Below are 27830 nucleotides of genomic sequence, written 5' to 3'. Positions count from 1 at the left end.
ACTTAATACAAAATATAAAATTCCAAAGATTTCCTTTGTGAGGCATAAAGTGTGAGGCGTATTCACATTTATTTCCAGGATAACAACAAAAAGAGACTACAGATAAAATTTAATGTATAAACTAGTGTAGGTAATGAGGTAGTACAATTAGAGCAAACATATAACTCATTATTCCTATTTGATTAACTCAGGGAATAAAATAAATTAATAAGAATTAAAAGCAAATACAACATTACTCAATTCGTTTTTTAAAAGCATGGCTAAGGAATATAATTTTTTTTCAAATGTATAAAAGAATGTTAGGCTGAGCAAATTACTAAATGTCTATCAAATCCATTTATCTTGCGTTCCTTAATAACAATGCATCATTCAGTTATTAATAAATTTATCATGATAAATTGATTAATTCCATAATTAAGATATGCAACAGCTAAATGGTGTTTGAGAGTTATGTTAGTTAAAAAGAACTATCTGAGGAGACCATAAACAAATTTGAGGCATTATAAAAAATCTGACATGGTTTTGTTTACCTGAAATAATGAAAGCGAATAAGTTGGAAGGCTTTTACACTCTTAGACATATATTTTCTACAGATGCAGTCTTTTCTTATGAAATTTACTTAGTATGGAGTGGATAATCAAGATCCTAATATAATTATCTGGCATAAAAGACAGAATAGGAACAAATACATAGTATGATGAGAGGCCAAAATAATCCTCTTTCCCCATGCATATTATGAAGTACTGCAACTGAAATCACCAAATTCCCCTGCCAGAAATAAAACAATTATAACAAAGAACAGTTAAGAAAAAAGTTTGTTTTAGGATCATGATAAACTGATTAAGTATATCTGATAAAGAAAAGCTTAATTTCTGAAGTGCAACTGAGTTAAAAGAAAAAACCGTAACTTAAGAAATGGGAAATGGTGTTTCTTGTTTTTTTTTCTTGCCTATTTGGAGACAATAGGAAATCCAATACAAAATTCTGTGGGTCAGTGACAGCTAAAAATAATTCTAATAAATTCTGAAAACTAAAACAACAGGATATCCACATACAGAAGAATGAAACTAGACCCCTGTCTCTCAACATATACAAAAATCAACTCAAAAAATGGACTTAAATGTAAAACTTGAAACCATAAAACTACTAGAAGAAAAGAGAGAAAATACTTCAGGACATTGATCTAGGCAAATACTTCAAAAGCATGGGCAACAAAAACATAAATAGACAAATGGGACTATATTAAACTGAAAAGCTTCTGCACAGCAAAAGGAAACAATCAACAGAGTGAAGAGACAACCTATGGAAGGGAGAAAATATTTGCAAACTACTCATCCAATAAGGGTCTTATATCCAGAATATACAACGAACTCAAACAACTCAACAGCAAAAAAACAAAATACAAAAAAACCAACACATACGCACACACAAATGAAACACACACACACAAATAATCCAACCAAAAGGTGGGCAAAGGAACTGCATAGACATTTCTCAACAGACCATACAAATGGCCAATAGGTATATGAAAAAATGCTCAACATCACTAACTAACCATCATGGAAATGCAAATAAAAATCACAATATAATCTCACCTAGTTAGAATGGCTATTATCAAAAAGACAGAAAAAAAAAAGAGAGAGAGAGATGCTGGCGAGGATGCAGAGCAAAGGGAACTCTTTTTTTTGAGACGGAGTCTCACTCTGTCACCCAGGCTGAAGTGCAGTGGTGTGATATCGGCTCACCGCAACTTCTGCCTTCTGGGTTCAAGTGATTCTCCTGCCTCAGCCTCCTGAGTAGCTGGTATTACAGGCACCTGCCACCACGCCTGGCTAATTTTTATTGTATTTTTAGTAGAGATGGGGTTTCACCATGTTGGCCAGGCTGGTTACAAACTGCTGACCTCAAGTGATCCGCCCACCTGGGCCCAGAAAACGGAACTCTCATACGCTGGTAGTAGAAATGTAAATTAGTACAGCCACTATGAAAAACAGGATGGCGTTTTCTCAAAAAATTAAAAGTAGAACTTCCATAGGATTCAGCAATCTCACTCCTGGGTATTTATCCAAAACAAAGGAAATCAGTGTATCAAAGGGATACCTGCACCCCCACGTTTACTGCAGCACTATTCACAATAGCTAAGATTTAGAATTAACCTAAATGCCATCAACAGGTGAATGGATAAAGAAAATGTAATATATATATATCACATTACACACACACATATGTGTATACACATGATGGAATACTATTTAACCATAAAAAAGAATTAAATCCTGTCATTTGTGGCAACATGGTTGAGCCTGGAGGACATTATGTTAAGCGAAATAAGTCAAGCACAGAAAAATAAAGACTGCATGTTATCACTCACGTATGAGAACTAAAAACATTTTTTGAGCTCATGGAAGTACAGAGTAGAATTGTAGCTATTGGAGGCTGTAGGCAAGGTAGTGGGGAGGAAAGAATGGGGAGAAAGGTTGGTTAAGGGTACAAAATTACAGCTAGATAGGAAGAATAAATTCTGGTGTTCTGTAGCACTGCAGGGTGAATATGGTTAACTATAATGTGTATATTTTCAAAAATCTGGAAGAAGGGATTTTGGATGTTCACGACAGAAAGAATAAATGTTTGAGGAGATGAATATGGTAATTACCCTTATTTGATCATTATACATTGTAAATGTGTATTGGAACACCATTGGGTATCCTATAGAATACATAGAATTATTGTGCATCAACTGTAAATAAAAGGGAAAAAATAACACAACAAGAGAACTTGGGATGGAGTTAATTTGGTCAGATAAAATACAAGATGCCAAATTAAATTTGAATTTCAGATAAACAACAAATAATGTTTTAATATACATAATACTTACTAAACTTACTTATACTTATTTAATTATCCCAAAACATCTTTATTATCTAAAATTTAATAGATATTTTATTATTAAATATCTATTAATAGGTTATCTAAAATTTAAATTTAACTTGGAATCCCCCTAGGTGGGATAAAAAAAAAGATTAAAACATACTAGTTTTATTTTAATTTTTTTGAATAAGCAATATATTCACATTTCAAAAACCAAAAAATTTGATTTATACAATGAAAAGTGTACTTCCCACTTATGTTTCCCATCTTCTCAGTTGCCCCATCTTCCACAAAAAACAACTGATTTTAGTGTCTACTATATCTTACCATAGTTTCAACTTTTTCTAATTTATTAAGTATGTACCTATATCTTCATATAGAAACAAAAATTATGATATTTTACTATTTCTAAACTTTTTCAAAATCACTTAGTATGTCATAAAAATAAATAAGAGTTATCAATAAGGGTTTTTTTTTTGTCCTTGTTTGAGAGTATATAGTAAGATTTTGGGGAAAGAGGGAAGACTATTTTATAAACTGTAACTATATAGCAAATCAACTTTGTAGGCTGACCACATGCAACTTGCTTTTTGTATTTGGACTTTAAAAAACTAATGTCAAAGTCACGTTCAAAGACTTTGGTAGAATTCCACACCTGTTAAAACAAACTTTTAAGAAAAAGAAATTAGACTAATTATAATGCTAAATTCAGTTGCATGTTTGTACTAAGACAAAATTTGATCCCTTTGCATCTTAGGTGGCCAAAAAAGAATTCAAAGTCATAAACAGAATTATATTCAACTATAGTTTCATAGCACTTATTTTTATACTACTTAACAATTAAAATGGGCTTTTATGTACATTAACTCATTGGCTCCCCCAAAACAACCCTGTACTGAAAAGCAGATACTATTTTCATCATCTTTGTTTCAGTTCAGAAAACTGAGCTCTTCAGTAGTGGCACATTCAGTTGGGGGCTTGAATCCAAGTCTTCTGATTTGAATCCATATGTTCTTCCCTCTGTCTTGCACTAACTCTTTGGTGGTCCTCCTGGTAGGTTCTGACTTTACCTGACACTTGTAGTTTACACAAACTAGTTCACAGTCATAGGTGAAAATCTGAAGAATCAATAGCACTCTGTTCAAGAGTTTATCACAAAGAACTGCCACAATTTGTCTCATGCATAGTAGGGAAGAAAGCATTTTATAAATCTATATCAATCCATAAATTAAAAATACTTTGAATTTGAAAATCATTTTGGTCTGAATCAAAAGTTGGACTATAGTATATATCCTATTTGTGCCTTAAAAGGTAAAGGGAGGATAAATATTTTACGATAAGAAAATGAAATATAATGACTTAATTTAAGATGTCAGAAACTGTCTAACAATTCCTTTTTTTGTTCTTTATGCTACTCCTGACGTTTACAAGACTGAACCAAATGTATGAGAATCTCAGTCAGAATGAACCTGCCTCTCTTAGTTCTCCTTTTCAGTCTCCTCTGCAGGCTCCTTCTCTTCTACCCAACATTTAACACCCAAGTGACACACTTTCTCTTCTATACCATTCCCTCGGTGACTCATCCAGTCCACAGCTTTAAGTACCAACTTTCTGCTTTCAATTCTCATATTTTAATTTATACCCCCAATCTAGGAAACTCTCCTACATAGTAGACTCATATATCCAACTACTTACTGAGCATGTCCCCTAGGATATTCAAAAAATTGTTCAAACTTTACATGCCTAAAGTTATCATGATTCTAGAATCATGATTCTTCCTCCTAAACCTACACCTCCCATACTCTTCCTCATGTCGTCAAATAGCAACTTACTCTTTGAATTGCTCTTGCCAATATCTTGGAATTATTCTCTACTTCTTTCCTCTGTACTTAATATTCAATCCATCAGTAAACCCATATAGGTTCCATCTTGTAACTGCTACCAGAATCTGACTTCTTACCACTTTCTCTATGAACATGCATCGAACCATCCACATGGCTCATCTAAGTTACTGGAATAATCTCCTAACTGGTCTCTCTGCTTTCAACTTTCCCCCTCTAACTCTCTATTCTTAATCCATTATTCAAAAGGATCCTTTTAAAACATAAGTCATCTTAGTCCCTCCTCTGATCAGAATTTTCCAGTGGACCCCATCTTCCTCAAAGTAAAGACCAAAGTCCTTACAACAGTCTACAGTCTCACATAATCTGGCCTCTACCACTCCTGTCTTCATCTGTTACTTCTCTTCCCCTGATGTCCTCAGCTACTTAAACTTTCAGAGAATCACAAACCATCTTTAATTAGATTAAAATCTACCTAATCCTTGGTAGACTACCATAAACCATAGATATTTTCTAATTTTGATATGTAATATTCCAAAGGAGAAGTGGTTGTTACATTTCTGTTATTTAAGCTTTAATTTATATATATGTATATATATGTGTGTATATATATGTATATATGTGTATATATGTGTATATACGTATATATATGTGTATATATGTATATATGTGTATATATGTATATATATATGTGTATATATGTATATGTATATATGTGTGTATATATGTATATATGTATATATGTGTGTATATATGTATGTATATGTATATATGTGTATATATATGCATATGTGTATATATGTATATATATGTGTATATATGTGTGTATATATATATGGCACTAGTCTATTTTTAACACTGATTTTTTTTCAATTTCCTTCTTGTTTTGTATAGATTAGAAACATTATTATTCTATTATTTCACCTTCCAGTACTGTCATCAAAATTAAGATTCTAGTATTAATATTATTATTTATATACTTTTATGTGTAATATCCAGTTCACTAGGGCAAAAGCAGACTTGGCAACAAGAACTGAACTGATAATCCTACCTACCGTATGTGGACATGGCCAGAAAGAAGCCGTTAACTAATAAAACTGAAATCACAGATGCCTGATTAGGGATGTACTTACATCTGCCAGTTCCTTGATTTGCTTTGCTGACACATCCAATGTGTCAAATCTTTGAAGGCAAGGCAAATGATATAATACATGTGTGGAATAATTACACAGAAGACAAACTGGATTGGTTGTATATTGAGGGTCATTCAGACATAAATCCTTTAAGCAAGGCAGCCTGGTTAAGTTCGTGAGTTCCTAAAATGCCAGCAAAGATAATGTTCAGTTAATTGTGACTGTCATTTCTAAAGGCAGTATTTGAACACCTAAGATCAGCCATAGTCTAATGCATTCTAATTATGCGCTTAAATACATTAAAGTGATTTAGATGCCTAAAATGTTTCTCTCTATTGAAAAGCTAAATTCCTGAAGAAAATATCAACAATAATTAAACAACATGCTACACCACTATGCCTTTTAAATATTTACTAAATCATGTATTCCAGCTGGAACCTTGAAGCCAGTGATGTGAGCACATTTATTCATTAATAAGTTGCTTCCCCTACACAGCCCCTCTTGCTAATTGCCCCCAGGATACCTGTAGGTCTCTGATTTCTTCACCCCTATTTCCTGTACTTATCACCTAGAAACACTCCTCTTCATCCTCGCTGCCTCCAGATCTGCTCTACTCATTAAAGGCTATGGGATCCCCTGTTCATTACAGTCACCATGGAATTCCTGATTTTTGTTTTTTTTGTTTGTTTTGTTTTTTCCATAAACACCTGTTTTACCTATTATGGTCAACTAAAGCCTAACTTTCTTTTGAGGGCCTCAGTTTTCTCACAACCTATGGATGAGGAGGGATTGATATGCACTCTCAGTCCAATGTTTCTCCTTAACATATTTTATCCTGATGTTTAAGTCATTGTTTATACTTTCCTTTATTTGTCATCTGGCTCTTGATTAACTCTTCAGTCTTGCCTCTTCCTGTTTAAACCCTAATATTTTATGATTTAGCCATATTGAACCAATTGAAGTTTTGGAATGTGCCAAGCCCTATCTTGTCCTTAGACCTTTACTCATGCTGCTCCTTTTGAGTGGCCTGAACTTCACCCCAATTTTACCTTTTAATCTGTCAGAGCCCAACCCAGTGTCATATTCCCTGGGAGCCTTGTTTCATCCCCCAGCGTTGGGATAGATGTTCCTCCTATGAGCTCTTTTAGCCACTGAGCTTAGTTTTGGTATGGATTTTATTATACCCTATTGCCAAATGCTTGTGTCTATAAGCCAAGGGTCTATATGGGCTTTGGTCCCCAGTCTACAAAAAAAGAATGTTATTTACATTTTTTAAGTATTCAAAAAAAACAAAGAAGAATATGCAGTAGAGGCTACATGTGGCCCACAAAGCCTGAAAGATTTTCTATTTGGCTTTTTTTTTTTTTTTTTTTTTTTACAGAAAACATTTGCTAACCCTGTGATAAACTTGTGAAGAACAAGGTTTGTGTCTTGTTTAACATTGTATTCTCAACACTCAGCACTTAGAACACAGCAGGCACTAAATAAATATGTAAAGTAAATTAATTATTACTTTCAGCCAACTTCGAGGATATCCTCATACCTTTCTCATTACCAGGATGGTGCCTGAGGTAGGAGGGTACTGTGGTGGGGTCAAACTTGAAAGGATGCAATGCTAGCTAGAAAAATCAGAATCAGAGTTAAGGGAAATCCAAAGGAAGAACTAGGAAGCATTAGGTCTAAAGCTACAGTAAAAATGGAATGGAAAAGGGAATAGTGAAGTCAGGTTGCTGGAAGCAAGAGTAATACAGGTTGAGGCGGTTAATGTATTTCCAAACTCTCTCTGGACAAGTGAGAATGTGGCTCACTGGTCTGACCTGAGGCTTGGGCTGAGCCTATGCAGGGAGGAGGACTAAGCAGAGTTGCTCTAAAAGGAAGATTTATGGACAGAGCTGTGCAGAGAATTATTTGGTCAAATTCTGCAGGGGCAAGAAGGTAAACCACTTGATTACTGGGTTGCTATGTTTCATTTGACCATTAGTCTGAGCTAGCAGATGGTGGGTATAAACTCTGAAGTCCTACACAGAAATCCCCCAACTACATTCCAAATTCAGGTGACACTGGAGTTTACAAAGGCACAAAATCTCACTGAAAATTAGTGCTCTGGTGCCTGGTATGGTTGGAAGGTGGGCACAGAATTGATTCAATCACCACCATGATAAGATAGTTATCTTCTTAGGGTAGGAGGAAAGGTTAGAGATAAAAATCTAAGATAATAGTGTTCCAGGAACATTTTTAATATGAAGATAGTAAAACTTCCTGTGAATCACGTTCAATGTTTTTATGATAGTCATAATGCCATAAAAAGCCTTTTTAAATATTATGTCACACAATGAATTTTTATAATAATCCTGCTATCATCATTTTTAAAATGAAGATACTGAAATACAGCAGTTCAATGTAATTAAAGTAATGGTAATAAAATAATAAAAACAATGGATCTGTTGAGTCCTTACTATGTGCTGGTCACTATTTAGGTACTTTACATTGTTATTTCACCAAAACTTCATGTTCCACCGTATTATGCTGCCTCTAGTATGAGGCAGAGCAAGACCTGAGAGGTCTTTCTGTCTATGCAGCCATGGCTTATAACCACCATAAGGGTGCCATGGCTAGCCAGAGTAAGTTAAACTTCCATATAGTTTCTTGGCAGGGCAATGCCTTATTTTCCCAGAACCCTGAACTAATCTTCTTCAGCCTTATGTCATAATTGCTTCCCTTGCTGTGATCAAGTCACACAGTATTTCTAGTTCCTAGAATCTGCCATACCCCTTTCAACCACCTTGAGCCTCCACACATGCTCTAACTTTTGCCTGGAAGGGTCTTTGCCTGGGCAACTCCTACTCACGTCTGATATCATTAGCTGTAACATTAGCTCCTCAAGGATGTCTTGTCCTGACATCCCAAACAAGGCTAGGTCTCCCTTTTATATGTTCCCACAGCACTCTGAATTTAATGTTCATAGCTCTCTCTGATCTCTTTTGGAATTTTAGCCTATTTTAAGTATAAAGCTTTATGCACATTTCACATTATTTTCTTGGAATAGATTCCTAAAAGAGGAATTGATAGGTCAAAGGATAGAAGCCTTTTTAAAGGACTTGGTACACATTATCTAAATGCTTTCTAGAAAAGTTCTATCATTTTAATGATTACCAATGTCGTATAAATGCCCATCTTATCCTTATCTTTCTAGCACAGAGTAACATGTTTATAAAATGTTGACTATATAAAATATTATCAATTTATTATCAATTACAATTATATCTTTTTTTTTTTTTTGAGACCTAGTCTCACTCTGTTACCCAGGCTGTAGTGCAGTGGTGCAATCTCAGCTCACTGCAACCTCCGCCTCTCAGGTTCAAGTGATTCTCCTGCTTCAGCCTCCTGAATAGGCTGGGATTACAGGCGCCCACCACCACGCCTGGCTATTTTTTTTTTTTTTTTTTTTTAGTAGAAACAAGGTTTCACCATGTTGGCCAGGCTGGTCTCAAACTCCTGATCTCAAGTGATCCGCCCGCCTCGGCCTCCCAAAGTGACAGGATTATAGGCGTGAGCCACCATGCCCGGCCTTATATCATGTTTTATTTTTCATTTTATTCATTCTTAGTAGGATTGAAAATTATTTTATGAATCTACTAGTCATGTGGAGTTCAATTCTATGAATTATCTGCTCACTTATCCTTTATTCTACTGGGTATCTTAGATTATTTGTTTCTAATTGATTTAAAAGAGCTCTTTTAAAAGTAAGAATTATTTCAAAGGTTTTTTGTTGGTTTGTTTTAATTTTATGATGTGTTTACCAGCCTGATAATTAGAATTTCCATATAGTAAGTATGATTTAAAGATTTAGTGTAGTATCTTAAGCTGGCAGAACTAGAAGGGGAAAGATACACATGTGTGCACGTGCATGCGTGCACACACACAATCTTGTTATCTATCTTACTGCCTGTCCCTGTCACAACTGTTACCATCCTCTCAGTGTCTCTGATTTCTATCATGGCTTCTTTTCCACATGTTTAATCTGATCCCTTATCTGATGGTCTCAATGTTGGTAGAGACAATTTGCCATGGCCCTAAGCATCGCTTCACACTCTTGCTTGTTATGCCAAGATTGTAAGGTATGACTGCTCTTTACCCATTTCTCAGTGTTGTGTGTACAGATCTTTACCTGGATGGCCCCACTGGTATTCTAAACTCAACATATCCAGAACCAGATACATTCTCTTCCCCTCACCCCCACCAAACTAGCTATTTTTTTTCTGATTTGTGTATTTTTTGAGCTTGCTAAGAACTGTAATCACGGATTCATTTTGGACTCTCTAGCTCTTCACATTCTACTAGCTGTGAAATTCTGCAAATTCAACAACCATAATGTCTCTTGCATCTATTTCTTCCTCGTCTTTCCTCCTCCTCCTCTTCTTTTTTTCTTTTTTTTTCTGTTAACACTCCAATTCATAGTCTCATAATTTCTCATTTAGATTATTCCTGGAATCTCCTGACTGGGTTTTCTTCTTCTAGCTGTTCCAAATCAATAAACACTAACTCCAGATCACTATCCCTAAAGAACATTTCTGATCATATCACTTTCTTGCTCAAAAATTTTACAGCTCTCTGTTGTCTATAAAATACAGTCTATATTCGAGACCCAATTGACCTTTCTAGTGTTAACTTCCAATATTGCTATATATACTCTATACTCCAGTCAAATGACAATGCTGGTGTTATTCAAATATACCCCTTGATTTCTCACTTCCCTGCCTTTGTACATATTGTTTTCCCCGTCTTAGAATGCCCACGCCCTGCTACCCAGAAGATCCTCCCACCAATGCTTGTTCAAATTCTGTTGACACTTCAAAGTTCTTATCAAATATTTCCTCTTGAATTTGACTAATACAATTTTGTTTACATTTCTTTTTAAGGGACTTAATCTGCCTCATTCTATAGCTTTTTGGTATTTTTATATTTTTGCCTGAGTAAAAGAATGCCTACTTTAATACTTATGAACTCAAAATTATTTCTATAGTAAATTTACCTATCTTTCTTCAGTATTTTCTAGAGGATGTGTTTGAATATGCACCTTCAATCTTACACTGGCAAAATTATAAATGCCACCTTTTAACCAACATTATATGTGATAAACATTAAGTCCCTTTATTTGGTTGTTTCTCTTTCATTCATGTTCTTGACAAATGTTTATTGAGATTTACTACATGTCCAACACTGTGTTAAGGATTGTGGATACAGCAATGAAGAGAACAGGCAAAGTTCCTGTACTCAGAGAGCTGGTATTCTAGTAAGGGATGTGCCAAAAGGAAAAATGAAACAGTGGCACTGTGATAGGGAGTGCTGCAGGTTGGGGAGGTTGTGACGGTTTTCCTATTACACCTAAATTGGGAGGGAAAGGTGTCACTTACAACACAATATTTTGAAAAAGACTTGAAATAAACGATGAAATGAGCCATGCAGGTATATGAGGAAAGAAAATTCCAGCAAGTGCAAAGGCCATAAGATTACTGTGTGCTAGGTGTATTCAGACCAGTGTGGCTGAAACTGGACAAAGGAGAGAGTGGTAGAAACTGTAGTCAAAGAGATAGGTAGGGGTGGTGGGGTGGCTAGATTAGGTAGTCTTATGGCCCCATTATATGAAATGTCTTCTACTCTGAAATAGATGAGAAGGCGACGGAGGGTTTTAAGCAGAAGGGTGATTTTTATCTGACAGATTTTTAAAGGTTCCATCAGGCTTCTGTGTGGAGAACAGATCTATAGTAGGGAAAGGACAAACACAGGAAAAATTGTTAGGAAGATATTTTTCATTAATGCAGGTTAGAGATGATAGTGTCTTGAATCAGCTTGGTAGTGATGCAGATGGTAAGAAGTGATCAGACTCTGGACATATTCTGAAGGTGCACCCAGTTGTACTTGCTGATGGATTGGATGAGGGTATGAAGGAATAAGAAGAGTCACAAATGACTGTAAGGATTTTGGCTTAAGTTACTGCAAGAATGGAGACTCCATTTAGAGAGGTGAGGAAGACTGCAGGAGAAGGCCTGGTAGAGGAAAAATTAGTTTGCATTAAGATATGTGTACAGTTCTGGAGAGTTGTTAAGGAAAGTAAAGGTACTAGTTTAAAGGGTAGATAAACGGTATTTAAAGTCTTAAGGCATGATGAGATTATTTAGAGAATGAATGCAGACAGAAATGAGAAAAGATGTCAGTACTGACCAAGGGCAGTCCATATCTTAGATGCTAGGAGAGGATGAAAGAACAGAAACTGAAGAGATGTAGCCAGAAAGATTGGAAGAAAACTAAGAGAAAATGGTATCCTAAGAGCCAGGTAAATAGTTATTTGTTTGGTTTTAATAGTGTCAGATCATTAAGGCCAATGTAGTCAGATGACTTTCAAATTTCCTGGAGCATCAGCCCAAAATAATGAACTTATTCCTTAATGGGGGACTTTTTAGTACAGTTTCTGCAACACAATGGTTCATGATTCAGGATGATAAATAAAAATTAATTATTCCACTTAAACATACCTTGAAAGAACATATTTGGTTACCAGAAAGGTTTAATCTTTCCAGTTGTTCATTGGAGTCAAGACATCGACCTTTAAAAAATAGACGAAAAGAATTCAATTATTTTACCTTCTGTTCATATTCTGTCATACTTCTGAGTTGTATGTAGCCATCGTTTCTTGCATATAAATAGACTAATGGTACCATTGTATAATTAGTAACCACTGATTAATGAGTAATATTTTCACAGGTTTCAATATGCTTTGCAAATATGTCACAGAAAAAAGCCTAAAAGAAAAAAAATCTAAGCATGTACTTTTTATATTGATAAAAAATGATTATAGCATTATCTCAGATTCCAAATGAAATAGTACATACCAATGCTATTTATTAGATTTCCAGCAAGGTTGAGATCTTTTAAATTCTTCAAAGTTTGCAAACCCTAAAAATTTAGACAACATATTATTTAGAACAGATAATTAAAATTAACATTTACAAATCATCTCTGATTAATCTGGTTAGTTCTGCAGGTGCTCTGAGCACAGGGTACTTTGTACTCCACAAGCACAGAAGGAAATGAGTGCCTCCAAGAAGCCACCTTTGTTCTCTATACTGGAACTCAGAATTATTGGAGGAGGGAACAGGAAGCGGAGTAGAGAGGAAAAAAGGAGGAGTAGGAGGAAAAAGAATACATCACACAGAGTATATTTATAATCTTAGGCAAGTTATGTAACTTATCTAAACCTCTTTTTATTTTTAAACCTTCAAAGAAAGAATAACAATGCCCTACCTCTTAGCCTTGTAAAGAGTAAAGAAAGTAATGTACACAATGCCCTCTGTACCTTATAAAATGCTATATACATGTTAGTTCTTTTTGACAACAATAATTGTACTAGTCAAGAATAGTTTGGCCTTTAACCACAATATGATCTTGAACATTGTGGTTTAAACTCTACAGTAGTAACTGGCTTTACATATAGATAATTGAAATTATTATCTTACCTCAATATTTTTAATTGTATTGTGGTTCAGCCAAAGAACCTTCAATTTGATTAATTTCTCTAAATTTTCTATTTTGGAAATTTTATTAAAATATAAATATAGTTTTTCCAAATTTCTACATTCTTGAAGACCTTCAATTTTCTGTAAAAGAAAAGGAGACTGAATAATGTTAGTTTATGTTTTGCTATTAATCCTTCCAATGAAGTAGGTTTCTAAGTATATTTTCTTTTAAATATCATATTTTATTGCAAAATCAATATCCAGCAAAATGAACTGTTTTAAAAGAAAAAAATATATTCCATGTTTTCCATTTAAATACAACTATTTTCAATTTTGCATGTTCTCTTTAAATTTTGATCAACCCTATATCTATTTATATATGGTTATAATTGTAATCATATATATCACATATCATATTTCTATATGGTTATGATTATAATCATATAGAAATGATTATGATCATATGGTTATGATTATAACAATGTAAGCACTTTATAATCCTAATGCACACACAATTTTGTGGGACTCTTTAAATTAAGACTAAAATGTTTTCATAATCCTTCAAATTATATTTAATAATTATGAAATATTTCAAGTTTATAATAATTTTCTGAAAAATTACCTGATGTATGGCATATTTATGTTTCAAATTTTTAGTTATAAATAATGCTGCAACAAGTAGCTTCGTGCATATGGTTGTTTTCTGCTATTGAGTTAACTTTTCTAGGATAAAATCTTAGTGTAGGGACTTCTAAGACAAAACGTATGCCCTGTGCATTTCTGTGATGGCTCTTGATGTTTTGCAATATTTCTTTTCAAAATAGATGTTATAATTTCAACACAGCCAATAGTGTCTAAGTGGACCAATTTTATTACTACGTAGTACTGGTTATGATTTGATTACTAAAAAGTAGAATATGTTTATGTTTTAATCCCTTATTTCTGTTTTTCCTTTGCACAAATCAATTTATTTATTTATTGAACTTATATTTTAAGTTCAGGGGTGCATGTGCAGGTTTGTTATTTAGGTAAATTTCTGTCATGGGGGTTTGTTGTACAGATTACTTTATCACCCACGTATTAAGCATAGTACCCATTAGTTATTTTTCCTGATCCTTCTCCCACCCTCCACCTTCAGTAGGCCCCAGAGTCTGTCGTTCCCCTCTATGTGTCCATGTGTTATCATCATTTAGCTCCCACTTCTAAATGAGAACAGGTGGTATTTGCTTTTCTGTTCCTGGGTTAGTTTGCTAAGGACAATGGCCTCCAGCTCCATCCATGTTCCTGCAAAGGACATTATCTTGTTCTTTTTTATGGCTGCATGGTATTCCATGGTGTATATGTACCACAGTTTCTTTATCCAGTCTACTACTGATGGGCATTTAGGTTGATTCCATGTCTTTGCTAGTGAATACTGCTGTAATGAACATACACGTGCATGTGTGTTTATGATAGAATGGTTTATATTACTTTGGGTATATACCCAGTAATGGAATTGCTGGGTTGAATGGTATTTCTGTTTTTAGGTCTTTGAGGAATCATCACACTGTTCTCCACAATGTTGAACTAATTCACACTTCCACCAACAGTGTATAAACATTCCTTTTTCTCCACAACTTTGCCAGCATCTGTTATTTTTTTTTTGACTTTTTAATAATAGCCATTCTGTCTTAGTGTGAGATAGTATCTCAGTGTGATTTTGATTTGCATTTCTCTAATGATCAGTTATTTTAAACTTTTTTTCTTATGCTTGTTAGCCACATGTATGTCTTCTTTTGCAAAGTGTCTGTTCATGTCCTTTGCCCACTTTTTAATGGGGTTGTTTGTTTTTTTCTTGTAAATTTGTTTAGGTTCCTTATAGATGCTGGGTATTAGACCTTTGTCAGAGCATAGTTTGCAAAAATTTTCTCCCATTCTGTAGATTGTCTGTTTACCCTGTTGATAGTTTCTTTTGCTCTGCAGAAGCTCTTTAGTTTAATTAGATCCCATTTGTCCATTTTTGCTTTTGTTGCAATTGCTTTTGGTGTCTTCGTCATGAAATCTTTGCCTGTTCTTATGTCCAGAATGATATTGCCTAGGTGGTGTTCCAGGGTTTTTATATTGGGTTTTACATTTAAGTCCTTAATTCATCTTGAGTTTAATTTTGTATATGGTATAAGGAAGAGGTACAGTTTCAATCTTCTGTATATGGCTATCCAGTTATCCCAGCACCATATATTGAATAGATGGTCCTTTCCCCATTGCTCGTTTTTGTCATCTTTGTCGAAGATCAGATAGTTGTAGGTGTGTGGCCTTATTTCTGGGTTCTTTATTCTGTTCCATTGGTCTATGTGTCTGTTTTGTAACAGTAACATGCTGTTTTGATTTGATTTGCTTTGATTACTAAAAAGTAGAATATGTTTATGTTCTAATTCCTTATTTTTATTTTTTCCTTTGTACAAATCAATTTCTAGCCTTTGTTCATTTATCTGTCTTAACCCATGCCTTATGCATATATTTCAATGAATTATTTTTCTAAAGCCAAATAATTCAGAATAAAATACTCCATGTGAGGTTTTATGTTTACACTTACCTCTATGCAGCACTCAGCAATCCAAAGTTCTTTAAGTTGTAAACAAGGCTCTAACCCTGAAATTTCTTTTATATCTTGAGCAACAATGGTAAGACTCGTTAAATTAGGAAATAATGATAATCCAACTATACGAGGATACCCTAAGAAAAACATCTCCAACTTTGATGTATCTGATCCTTCTTGTCCAACCATCTCATAAGATAAGCCATTGCACAAACACTGTTTTAAAGGAAAGAAATTTGGTCATTACCTATTTTAAATAATTAAAAGATGACTTTTACCATTAGAAATTATAAATTGTCAACTGCACTGATGCCATTTTTATAATCTCACAAGAGAGAAAGTTATATCACATATATGATTATTCTCTGCTTCCCAAAGTCACTAGGTAGAGGAAATGACTAAGTAACCCTTCCAGCTCTAGAAAGGAGCATAAAAACTTTCCATTTTATATTACTGCAAATGTTATTTAAAAGAAATTTGACTTTGACTCACCAGTTCTTTAATTATTTCTTCTTGGTTTAGGTTTTCACTTTCAATCATCTTCCATTAAAAACAGTGATCATAATATTATAACTTTTAAGGAAAATGAAAAAATGAAATAAATATTAAAGTCATTGTCATTCCAAGTTGAAATAGACCTTAAAGCTACTGAGGTTGAACCACCCAACTGTAGTTTGAAATCTTCACATAGTATATTACCAAGTATCTGTATAAACTCTGAGGGAGTTTTCTGTTAGGAGGTTATTTTTTATTTTAATTTTAAATCTCTCTCTCCATAATTCCTTCCCTTTTGTTGTCAGTATACCTCCTCGGTATAACTTTTTTTCCACACGATGAGCCTTCAATACTTGAAGAAAATGGTCATCTCTCATCTACACTCTTATCTTACTCCCAGTTCAAGTTGTTAGTTCTCTCACTATATACTCATGTTTCTCTCCTTTGAACAGGCTCTAGTTGTCCTTTGTATTACACTGCGGTGTCTAAACGTGAACACAGTTCTCTAAGTATACCTAGACTGCAAAGAGAAGAATCCTTAGGGCTTAGCAACATTTTTGGCATAGTAATAAGTGTTTATTAAAATAAATACTCCAACTTCTCCTTCATTCTAGAGAATATGAACCAACTAATACTTCAGTTGGATGAAACTTAATCCAACTTTCATAATTTGTAATATTTTCTGTATATTATTCCAGATACATACTATCTAAAAAATATAAGAATCCTGCCTTTAATATAATGAACTGACAAAGCGAGATTTAGAAAATGGTATACAGTATAATCCCTTTCTTTACAATAACAACTCCCCCATAGGCATGTGTGTATACATGTGTATATATGTAAATGCATGTATATGTATAATTATTGTCAGGAGAAAATATGGAAAGATATATACTAAGTTGTTAATATGAGTTTCCTTAGATGCAGGTGAAAGCCTTTGTGGCCAGAATACAAATGTAAAGCTGGATGGGAGAGATCTAGGCAAAAATGGAAAAGAAAAAATGATACTTTTAAAAAAGCATGTTTAGAATTGCCTAGTATGAATGTATAGACATTTATTTATTATTTCTACTATGGGTACACATTTTGACTGTTTCCAGTTGGGGGTTAAATAGTGCTTCTCTGAACATTTTGTCATACAGGTCATAGCTACAAATTTCTTTGGGGTTTCTACCTAAAAGTGGAATGAGAAAGAAACAACTACTGTTATTTGCAACATAAGTGAGTTTCACGTAAACAAATGTTGAACAAAAGAAGAGACACACAATGAGTAATACTCATAATGAGTATGACTCAATTCATGTAAGATTTTAAAACAAACTGTAGTGTTAGAAGTTAGGATATTGGTTACCTTTCAGGGAAGAGCAACTAAGAGGAGGCAAAAAGAGGGGCTTATAGAGTGTTCATAACAATGTATTATTTGATCTAGGTGCTGGTTATGTTCAATTTGAAAATAAAATTAGATACCTATGATGTGTGTGATTTCTGGATGTATGCTATACTTCAATGAAATTCTACTTAAATTTTTATTTTAAAGGCATTTATATGCTCATTTTTATTCATTTATGCTAAATTATGTACATGTGCTGGCATATACATAAATTAAAATGTTAAGAAAAAAGATGATGATTTGAGTCCATGTATTTACCTATCTTCCCTCCCCAAATCTCACTAGAATGACTACAGAAATATGAAAACAAGAAAAGAATATAGCAGTGCTACAAAAAGAGCAATGATTGCCAGAAATATTGAGAGAAGTCTTTAAATATGACACAGACAACATCAGATTGAGAAAAAAGCCCATTAACACAAACCAGAGTCTGTTCTCACATTGCTAATAAACACATGCCCGAGACTGGATAATTTATAAAGGAAAGAGGTTTAATTGACTCACAGTTTCATATGGCTGGGAAGGCCTCAGGAAACTTATAATTACAGCAGAAGGGGAAGCAAACCAACCTTCTTCACATGGCAGCAAGAGACAGAATGAGAGCTGAGTGAAGGGGGAAGCCCCTTGTAGAATCATCAGATCTTGTGAGAATTCACTATCACAAGAACACATGGGGGAAACTGCCCCCATGATTCAATTATGTCCACCTAGTCTCGCCCTTGAAATGTGGGGATTATTACAATTCAAGATGAAATTTTGGGTGGGGGCACAGCCAAACCATATTACAGACCAAAATTCAAGGTACCAGGGAAAGAAGTTTCACCAAACAATTCTAAAAAATCTTCAAATTGAGAGAAGCAGTGGTTGGGAAGGGGTAGCTGTGTATTATATATAAGGGACCAAATCAAAGGAGTTTGAGAAATGCACCAGAAAATTGCACACAGTCTGTATTTGTACTCATGCTTTGTAAATTGAGGACATTGCCCTACCATGCTGAATGCTACGGTTTGAATGTGTCCCCTTCAAACTTCAGGTGTTGCCAATATGATAGTATTAAGAGGTGGGCCTTTAAGAGGTAATTTGGTTATGAGGGCTCCTCCCCTTCCAAATGGCATTAGCTGCCCATTAGCTGTGCATTTAAAGGGCTTGATGGAGAAAGTTCATCCCTTTTTTGCCCTTCTGACTTGGCCATGTGAGTACATACTGTTCCTTCTCTCCAGAGGAGGCAGACTTCAAGGCATCATCGTGGAAGCAGACACCAGATGCTGATGCCTTGATCTTAGACTTCCTAGCCTCTAGACCTGTGAGAAATACATTTCTGTTGTTTTTAAATTGCCCATTTTCAGGTATTTTATTATAGCAGCACAAAATGGACGAAGACACTGAGTCAAGAAGGAGGGATGGGACCCAAGCTAGCACCACAAAGAAAAATACAGCCAGCAAATTATCCTAATACATTGGACTCTTTGTTCATTCATTGACTCTTTGTTAATATTCATATTGAAGGCATAAGACAGAACCCCAGACAGAGAATGACAGCGGTGGGAGGAAAAAGAAGATCAGGACCTTATCAGATGATAAGGTGGAATCTGGGCAAAGAAATGAAGGACATAAGGGAGTGTGAGTGTGAGCCATGCGGGAATCTGGAGAAAATGCATACAGGCAAAGGAAACAGCAAATGGAAAAAAAAAAAAAAGCTGGGATGGGGGGCAGTGAGAGTATACTTGGTATGTTTGCAGAATAGCAAGGAAAATTATGTGCCTGGAGTACACTGAGAGAAATAAATAATGGTAGGATGTGAGGTCAGAGAGGTATTTCAGGGCCAAATCATGTGCTATCTTGTAGAACTCTGTGAGGATTTTGTATTTTATTATGGTAAGATGAAAAGCTATATGAGGATTTGAGTTGAAGAGTAACAAGAACTGTCATAAGTATTGAAAAAGATCACTCTGGTTGCTGTATTTAAAATAGATTGTAGGGTTTGGAGCAAAAGCAGGGAGACTAGTTAATGGGCAGTTGTAATAATGTAAGTGGGAGAGGATGGTGATTGGAGTAGGGTGGTGGTAGAGGCAGTGGAGACAGTGGTTAGATGATGGGTCTATATTGAAGGAAATGCCGCGCATTCCTTCCCTGCTTCCCATTGGCAATTTCATCTTTACTCCATTCTTGGACAACCTCAGGATATTACAGCATAGGCTGCAAGAGAAGCCAGTCAAGAAAGCAACCTGAAAGAATTTGGAAGCTCCATCAAAGGCCCATACATAGATGCAGGCCATAGTCTTACCTCTCCAGGTTTATTTGAATAGTGCACCAAGCTTAAAAAGTGTTTTGCAGCACCTCTACTCGTGGAAAGAGAAACCCTTATATACTGGATTAAAGTCTGTGATTACCAAAGGATAGCCTAGCTGCCCACCACCACACAAAGGACAAACGCTTCCCTTCAAAGCTCCAAATTCACCAAATGGTGTTCTAAGTTATCTTGCCTTTGTCCAAGATAACTATTGTAGAAGGAATTAAATCATTCTCTTTGTTATATTCTAAATGATCACATACACTGGGGCCTAATTTTGGACTTTCTAGTCTGTGTTTTTCATTAGCTCTGACTATTCCTGCACGAGTATCTGTTTTTTGTTGTTGTTATTGTTGTTTTAAGACGGAGTCTTGCTCTGTCTCCCAGGCTGGAGTACAGTGCAGTGGCGCGATCTCAGCTCACTGCAAGCTCCACCTCCCGGGTTCACGCCATACTCCTGCCTCAGCCTTCGGAGTCGCTGGAACTATAGGCGCCTGCCACCACGCCCGGCTAATTTTTTTGTATTTTTAGTAGAGACGGGGTTTCACCGTGTTAGCCAGGATGGTCTTGATCTCCAGACCTCGTGATCCACCCACCTCAGCTTCCCAGAGTGCTGGGAGGCGTGAGCCTACAGGCGTGAGCCACCTCGCCTGACTGTATCTGTTTTAATTACTGTGATTTATATTTTAAATTCCCACCTCATGTTCTTTTTTGGCAGTTTCCTGGATATTCTTCCATATTTATTTTTCCAAATAAAATTTAGGATTATTTTGTATTTAGTTTTAAAAAATGCAGTTGGGATTTTGGTTGAGGTTGCATTGTAAAGATTAATTTAGGGAGAACTTCCATATTACAGTTTTGAGTCATCCTCAAGAACAAGGGATAGCTCTCCATTTACTTGAGACTACTTTTCCTTGGAAGAAAAATATGCCTATTTGGGATACAAATCTTACCTCTCACTTCAACTTATTTTCTCTTCATCAATGCACTTATTTAGCAGAAAATCTTATTCTAATTCAACAGCTAATTAGAAAAATACAATTTAATTTAAAAACCCCAAATTCTATAAGTTGTATAACTATTTCTGAATCACAAGGATGCTAGGCCTTCCTGGTACTTACAAGTCTTGTATGTTTTCTCCAGTCACAAATGGACTCAAGGGTTCCAGATGAAGTTACTGAATTCATCAAGAGGTGAATGTCCTGTTGGCCAGCTTGTAACTACTCTCCTGCTCTTCGAAGCTCTTTCAGGGCTGGCCCATTTAAGAGGCTAAAGGTCATCTCTAGTTCCCCCACAAAACCAGAAGCCACCAGGAACTTCTATAGCTTTTACACCTCAAACTGCATAGGATTAATCTTTCCACTTTGGATTGCTACTGGAAAATTTCACCTAACCAGCATGGAGCTGAAGTCACTACAAATGCATTGCCTCTAACTTCAGTTAGATCTTCAGCAACAAATGTTTTATATTTTCCTCAATTTCCTCTCCTAGGAGAGTGGGACTAGAGACTCGAGATTCATGACATTACTATTCTAAACTTTCACCACTCTTTTCAAGGTCTCTCTCTCAGTAGATGATCTTGACCCCATTTTCACAGAGAACAGTGGTGCCATCAAATGTATGTTTCTTATTTCCCTCCTCTCAAAGACGTATTTTTCTTTCCCTTCTGACTCCTGTCTTAGTAGGTGTTCTTCCTTTTGTCCAAAACAAATCCCTTTTCCTATGTATTGATCCTATCCTTATCTGTCTCTTTCAGAATACTGCTGTCAAATTTTCCTCTTTCATTTATTGCCAAATTTCCTTGTCAACGGTCTCCTTTATTTCTGTATATAAATATTAAGTCTTTCCTATCTTAAAAAGTCTCTCCTATATTCTTCTATGAATAGCTGTTTTTAGATACCTTTATGGTACACCTTTTAGATAATCATTAGCAACACATCACTACCTGCTTTCAGTCCTGGATTCACTGCCATCTGGACTGAGAACACCTCAAGCCACTACAAGGTCAAAAATAACCTTCTAATGGCCAAAGACAGCGGACATGTTTTGATTCTCAACTTGACCTTGACATGGCATTTGACAATGCTGACGACTCTCTTCTTCACGTTTTCTTCTTTGGTTCAACTTTTCTCCTTGGCTTCTCTCTACTTGTTATTTCAAACTTACTTTGTGCTTTTCTTCTTTTCTTTTTTCTTTCTTATTTATTTATTTATTTTTTTTTTGAGACAGAATCTCACTTTGCTGCCCAGGCTTGACTGCAGTGGCACAATCTGGGCTCACTCCAACCTCTGCCTCCCAGGTTCAAGTAATTCTTCTGCCTCAGCCTCCCAAGTAGCTGGCACTACAGGCGCGTGCCATCACACCCGGCTAATTTTTGTATTTTTAGTAGAGACAGGGTTTCACCATATTGGCCAGGCTAATCTCGAACTCCTGACCTTGTGATCCACCCGCCTCGGCTTCCCAAAGTGCTGGGATTACAGGCATGAGCCACCGTGCCTGGCCTACTTTGTGCTTTTCAAACCAATTGTTTTCTTCATGGTGAAAAATCCTTATCTTCTTTTCTGTGCAAAAAAAAAAAAAAAAAAAAATCCAACTGCCCACATGAAAAAGCTCCATCTGAATGTGCCACAGGCATCTCAAATTCAGTGTGTTCAAAATTGAACTCATTATATTTTCCAACCAGCCTCCTTCTCCTAATGTATGCCTTCTCTTGAAAAGTAACACCACCATTCTTCTATTGGTTGAGCTATTATCCTCAACCAATCTTTGACTCTATCCCCCTATTTTCATTCACTCATTAAATCCTTCTGCATATACCTCTTAAAGGTCTTACCACATTTTTTTTCCTCCTCCTCATTCCAATTGCCTCTGCCTTGGTTCAGGCCCTCATCACCTCCCCTTAACTTGATGTCCTCCCTGTAGTCTGTCTTCCCTCAAGTTCATCCTCTACACTACTGTGACAGCCTCCTGAAAGGTAAATCTGCTCATGCTTTACCCCTTTGGAAGGTATTAATGGTTTCCATGCTCTGACTCCTGCCTACCTCACATGCTCATCAGCCACAACCTCCACAGAGGACCCTAGGTTCAGGCCACAACTATAGTTCTCTGGAACTGAATGGATGTTTCTGTACTTTGGCATGGGCTGTTTCCTCTCCCTAAAATGTCCTTTTCCCTTGGCTGTATGGCATACTCCATACTTCCCTAAAGATTTAAATCAAAGATCTTCTCTTTGAAGACTTTCATTCTCTCTGGTAGTATTATAAGCATTCTCTTTCTTGTGATTCTGGTTAGGGCTTGCACATACTCTTTGTATAGCACTTGTCACACTGTAAAACAATGTTTACGGGCCTTTCTTCCCTACTAGGTTACATGTTCATTGAAGGCAGAAACTGTGAACCTATCACAGGTTCACTGTCTGGCACATGCTAGTTGTTAAAAAAATTGTTTAATGGGTTAATTGTCATGCCACAGGCATATGGTATAATTTAAAGACATAATCGTTCTCCATGACCAGAGTATAATGATAGAGTAAAAAGGACCATGGTTTCTGTCTGCCGTGAGAGTTGGTTAGGATGTCATTCTGAGAAAACTTTTTTTTTCTCTGCCCAGTAGAAGTCCTGTATGGGTCAAATTATTTCCTCCTTTGGGTATAAAAGGATCAGAATCCATCAGTTACCACTGATGGTCCAAATAAACCCCCTACACTCTCTAGATGAGCAGTGTCAGGTTTGGTTAGGGAGCACTTGGTTTTTCCAGCCCAGAATCTTAATTGGTGCAGTAAAATCTGCATAGTTGGCTGTAGGCCACCCTCCCTTTCCTTCTCTTGAACTTTGTTCTGGTACCCTGACTGCCTCAGTAAAGCCACCTCACTGTCTTTCATCATTATCATCACCATTGCACCATTACGGAGTTCCCTTGACCTCAACTTTGCTTCACTGGCGTCTTCCCCTTGGTATGGCTTGGAAGGAAAAAGAGGGGATCAAAGACTCCCGGTGATGTACGCCCGAAGGCCACCAGGTGACGGATTCTGACCTTATCACAGAGAGAGGGTGGATTCCGGGGCAATCCGATTCAAGTCCGAGTCCACTCCGATTTCCCAATCCCTGTCTTGCAGCAGAAGGTAGGAAACCCTCTCCCGCCCCAGGCCTGGTGTGTACAGACTGCCTGTGGCGGTTGCCTAGGTAACCTGATCTCCGCCTCCGGCGACCTCCGGGTGGGGAGGAGGAGAAAAGGGGCGGGGAGGGGGATAAAAGGGTGGGGGGGAAGCGGAGGCCGACCCGGGTTTGCATCACGTGGTGGCGACCTCCAACCAATCAGCGGAAGCAGGGGTCCAACCGGAAGACCCCACCTGGGGCTCCTGGGAAACGGCGGGAGCTTCTCGCTGGCAGGTTTTTCTGTACCTGCGCTTATCTTTTCACTTACCTTCGCCAGTTCGCGGAACGTGACTGAAAGCAACGCGTTATGGGCAAGGTGGTGGGGACTTATTCGTTACCTCCTCCAGTCTCGCTCTCTCCCATTCATTATCTTTAGCTCTCGGGTCCTGGAAGCGCGGAGCCTCTCTGGCCTTGAGCCCCGAGGGCATGGCCCTGTGATGTCACAAGGTGGCGTGACAGCCGGGACGAACCCCGACCCCCAGCGCGGCATCCTTCCCGCGGCCAGCGACCACCGCCTCCCGGGAAGGTGGCTGACCACAGCCGCAAGCCGCTGCGCGCCCGGCAAGCCGAATGGAAGGACGGCGCGGGCAAACGAACGCCCAGTGAGGTCCAGAGAAGAGAGGGACCTTCCGAGGGTCTTCTAGTCGATCTCGGACAGGCTTTTGAGTGCCTTTTAAGCATTCCAAAATTTTCAGGAGACAACAGTAATTTACAAAATAGAGTAGAATTAAAAGGGGGGAAAGGGGAGACTTTTCAGAGTGGGCAGAGAGGCTGAGAAATGAACTTAGTAAAAGGCAAACCAAAGCAACCGCAGGTCTCGTGTCGTTCTCTGGATCTGCGCAGTCCAGCAGGGTGAGCCGCTACCCACAGACTCGCAGGGCCCATGATCGCTTGAAATGTGGCTTGTCCAAATTGACATGTGCTGTAAGGTACGCATTGTATTTTGAAGGCTTAGTATGAAAAAAATAAACTCTTTCGTTATTAATCTTCATATTGATTAAATGTTGAAATAATATTTTTGATACATTGGGTTAAATAAAAAATATTGTTAAAATTATTGTTTCTATTTTGAAAATGCGGCTGTTAGATAAATTTTAAATTGCATGTATGACTTGAATTATGTTTCTTTTGGACTGTGCTCTCTTTTATGTGGTTCAGTCGGTTTGTGTAGAATAGTTGTGATGTTAATGCAAAATATTGTCTGTAGTGCTTCTTTCTGTCACCAGATGGCCACCTCATTAAATAGACTATAGTTTTGAACTGCTTTCCCAAGAAAAAGTTCAGATTTTAGGAATATTCTCATTTAACAATTGTCAACAATTTCAGCATATTTGCCTTTATTCAATTAACTTTATCTGTAATATAGACCGTTTGTAAAGATACATAAACAAAAATTAACTGGTTTTCCCTCTACATTCTTATTTCACAGAAAATTGTTTCTATCTGTCATTAATAGATAATTCGAAATAAGCTAATTAAAGTTATTTGTGGCTTAGGGGTTTCAAACTAATGCCAGAAAAGTCAGATTCATAGTTTTTACTTTTACTATTATCTTCTCTGAAATGTAGTTGAACAAGGTGACCTGTCTTTGGGGAAGTTTTCTTCATAGAGTATAAAGATGAATTAGAACATAATAGTTGAGATTTCTACACTTCTAGACATAGAAATTTGAACAGAAACCAGTTCAGCGAATTATCTACACTAAGTTTCTTAATTTGAGGGGTCCAGCTCTGGGATGAAAGTATAAACATTATCAAAGTATATTTTTAGGAATCTATTGGGATTTTCCTGACCAGTGAAAGACTAGGAGAGAGCTAACAGTTTTCTTTACATGATATAAACAAATAATTTTAAGATTGTTATTATTCTAGGTAAAGCTCAAGGATCTGGCCAGTCAGCAACTGAGTCTGAGTTCTTGCATAGCTGTAGACTTAAGAACTATTGGTGACTTGCCAAAATAAAGCCTTTGTCCACAGGGTAAGTCTTAAGAGAATCACCTTCTGTTCACATATTCGAAATGTTGTTTGAAGCAAAAGATGCTTACAGTTAAAAGCCATAGAAGCAATGCAAAAAGAGTGATCATTTTTGTTAATCTCCTTTTCTCACTTTAAAGTAGCTTTATTATAAGGTTTTATGTCTGAACAAAAAACGCTGGAAATTGAAACTACTGAAGAGTCAAGCAAATTAAGTAATCATCTAATTGAAATAAGACTTCACTTTATTCACCTCTGATCATACTAGACAAAGGCCAAGCCATATTAATTTAAATCTATTTATTTATGGGTAAAGGCATCTTGAATCTGAAAACAACTGGAAAGAGATATTACCACTAATTATAGCAAATTTGCTATATCATATCCTGAATTAAAGAATCACTTATTTTAACAAAATAGAGGTGACTTTGCAGACCCAAATAAGAAAATCTTGAATTACATAGTTATTTGTTAATTAGAACCTTTTAAATAGATTGTTAAATTTATTTTTCAAAGCAGCCCTATCCTTATTGGTAGAGAACTGTGGAGACATCTAATTTCAATTCTCCCTTTTAATAGTGCCTTTACTTCCAGAGAACCAAGTCTGGAGGTTTTAAATGCTAATTCGATTTTTATATTTGTGTAGACATTTGATCCTTATGTAAATGAGTCCTTTCCAGCTAATGATTTTATCTGTAAAAATTTACTGTTTCACATTTAAATTTGATATATCATAAAAATCACAAATGCATCACTACTTAGGGTTTACTTTGTCACTGGAAGATATAATTATGTGGTGCTTATAAAGTCATCAACAGAGGCCCTCTTGTTATTGATGCCTAGCAACACATGTGTATTAAGATCCATTTAAAAGTTAGGGATTATTCTGAAGTAAAGTTTTAATTAGACCAACAGAACGCTATTTCTAATGGGTCTACCTAAAAATGCTAAATAGCCTTTGTTCATGATTTGTTGATATATAATTAATGGATAAGCTTTTCTTAAAAGGCAGCCAGAATGGAATTTTAAGAAGACATTGCCTCTGTTTCAGATATATTTGTACTTAGCTCTAAGGCAACAAATTGAGGATAGTGAATTTAAGTGGGGGTAGTAGTCTTAATTCCTTGGAGAGCTCACCAGTTCTTTGTGTCGGAGAAGTCTTTCCTCTCTTCCTCTTTTATTTTCTGTCCTTTAGACCTTAGGCTTATAACGTTGATTATATTTCTCAGGTTGAAGCACATCATCATCATTGGTCTATACAAAAGCCTTCTCTTATTTTTTCTCCAGTTTTTTTTATCCAGCCCCCACCCTTATCCCAACCATATTTAATGTTTCTTATACACTTTTAGTTATGTATTTATCTTTGAAAAACAGGCAGTGTTATTTGTGTGTCTATTTTTAATTTTCATAAGTGGTATCACGCTATAAATTTTATTCTGATCCTTTTTTATTCCATGCTATTTTAAGATCTATCCACATTTTTATATGTTCATCTAGTTCATAGATTCCTATTGTCAGCTATGAGAGCTAGCTGGGGTGCCAGTAGGAATATAGCACATTTTCCATTGTGTACTCTAGGTCCCTGTCTCTGTTG

General features: G+C 36.2%; 1 protein-coding gene across 19 annotated transcripts in view, besides 3 other annotated features; it reads right to left on the bottom strand.

Annotated features, from left to right (window-relative positions):
* The window catches only part of LRRC9 (leucine rich repeat containing 9), a 147105-nt gene extending 122403 nt beyond the window's left edge, over nt 1-24702 (bottom strand). For 13 of the 19 annotated variants that reach the window (NR_075071.3, XR_002957549.2, XR_002957550.2 and 10 more), the window contains exons 1-7: nt 24532-24702; nt 16424-16504; nt 15929-16147; nt 13357-13497; nt 12733-12796; nt 12376-12446; nt 5843-6025 (exon numbers count right to left, since the gene is read on the bottom strand). Coding sequence is in view for 15 of the 19 variants with exons in the window: in NM_001355272.3 (NP_001342201.1) it covers nt 5843-6025; nt 12376-12446; nt 12733-12796; nt 13357-13497; nt 15929-16147; nt 16424-16471 (726 nt within the window). In the remaining 4 variants the exon portion in view is untranslated. Of the gene's footprint in view, nt 1-5842; nt 6026-12375; nt 12447-12732; nt 12797-13356; nt 13498-15928; nt 16148-16423; nt 16505-16630; nt 16682-16736; nt 20485-24141; nt 24272-24531 lie in introns of those variants that run through there. The other 6 variants (NM_001395648.1, XM_024449568.2, XM_024449563.2 and 3 more) reach the window with 5 other exon arrangements.
* Nucleotides 4437-4516: an enhancer, noted in NCBI's record as "active region_8463". NCBI's record gives its function as "activates an Ori minimal core promoter by ATAC-STARR-seq in GM12878 lymphoblastoid cells {active_cell/tissue: GM12878}" and the evidence as "EXISTENCE:reporter gene assay evidence [ECO:0000049][PMID:35858748]".
* Nucleotides 4537-4586: an enhancer, noted in NCBI's record as "active region_8462". NCBI's record gives its function as "activates an Ori minimal core promoter by ATAC-STARR-seq in GM12878 lymphoblastoid cells {active_cell/tissue: GM12878}" and the evidence as "EXISTENCE:reporter gene assay evidence [ECO:0000049][PMID:35858748]".
* Nucleotides 23912-25111: an enhancer, noted in NCBI's record as "BRD4-independent group 4 enhancer chr14:60386022-60387221 (GRCh37/hg19 assembly coordinates)". NCBI's record gives its function as "activates an origin of replication core promoter dependent on BRD2, P300/CBP, MED14 and CDK7 cofactors, and independent of BRD4, by STARR-seq in HCT116 cells {active_cell/tissue: HCT116}" and the evidence as "EXISTENCE:reporter gene assay evidence [ECO:0000049][PMID:35650434]".

Source organism: Homo sapiens, chromosome 14, assembly GCF_000001405.40.
Source record: "Homo sapiens chromosome 14, GRCh38.p14 Primary Assembly".
Classification (NCBI taxonomy): Eukaryota; Metazoa; Chordata; class Mammalia; order Primates; family Hominidae; genus Homo; species Homo sapiens.
The sequence above is the reverse complement of the archived record's forward strand: the minus strand, read 5'-3'. Positions and strand labels throughout refer to the sequence as shown.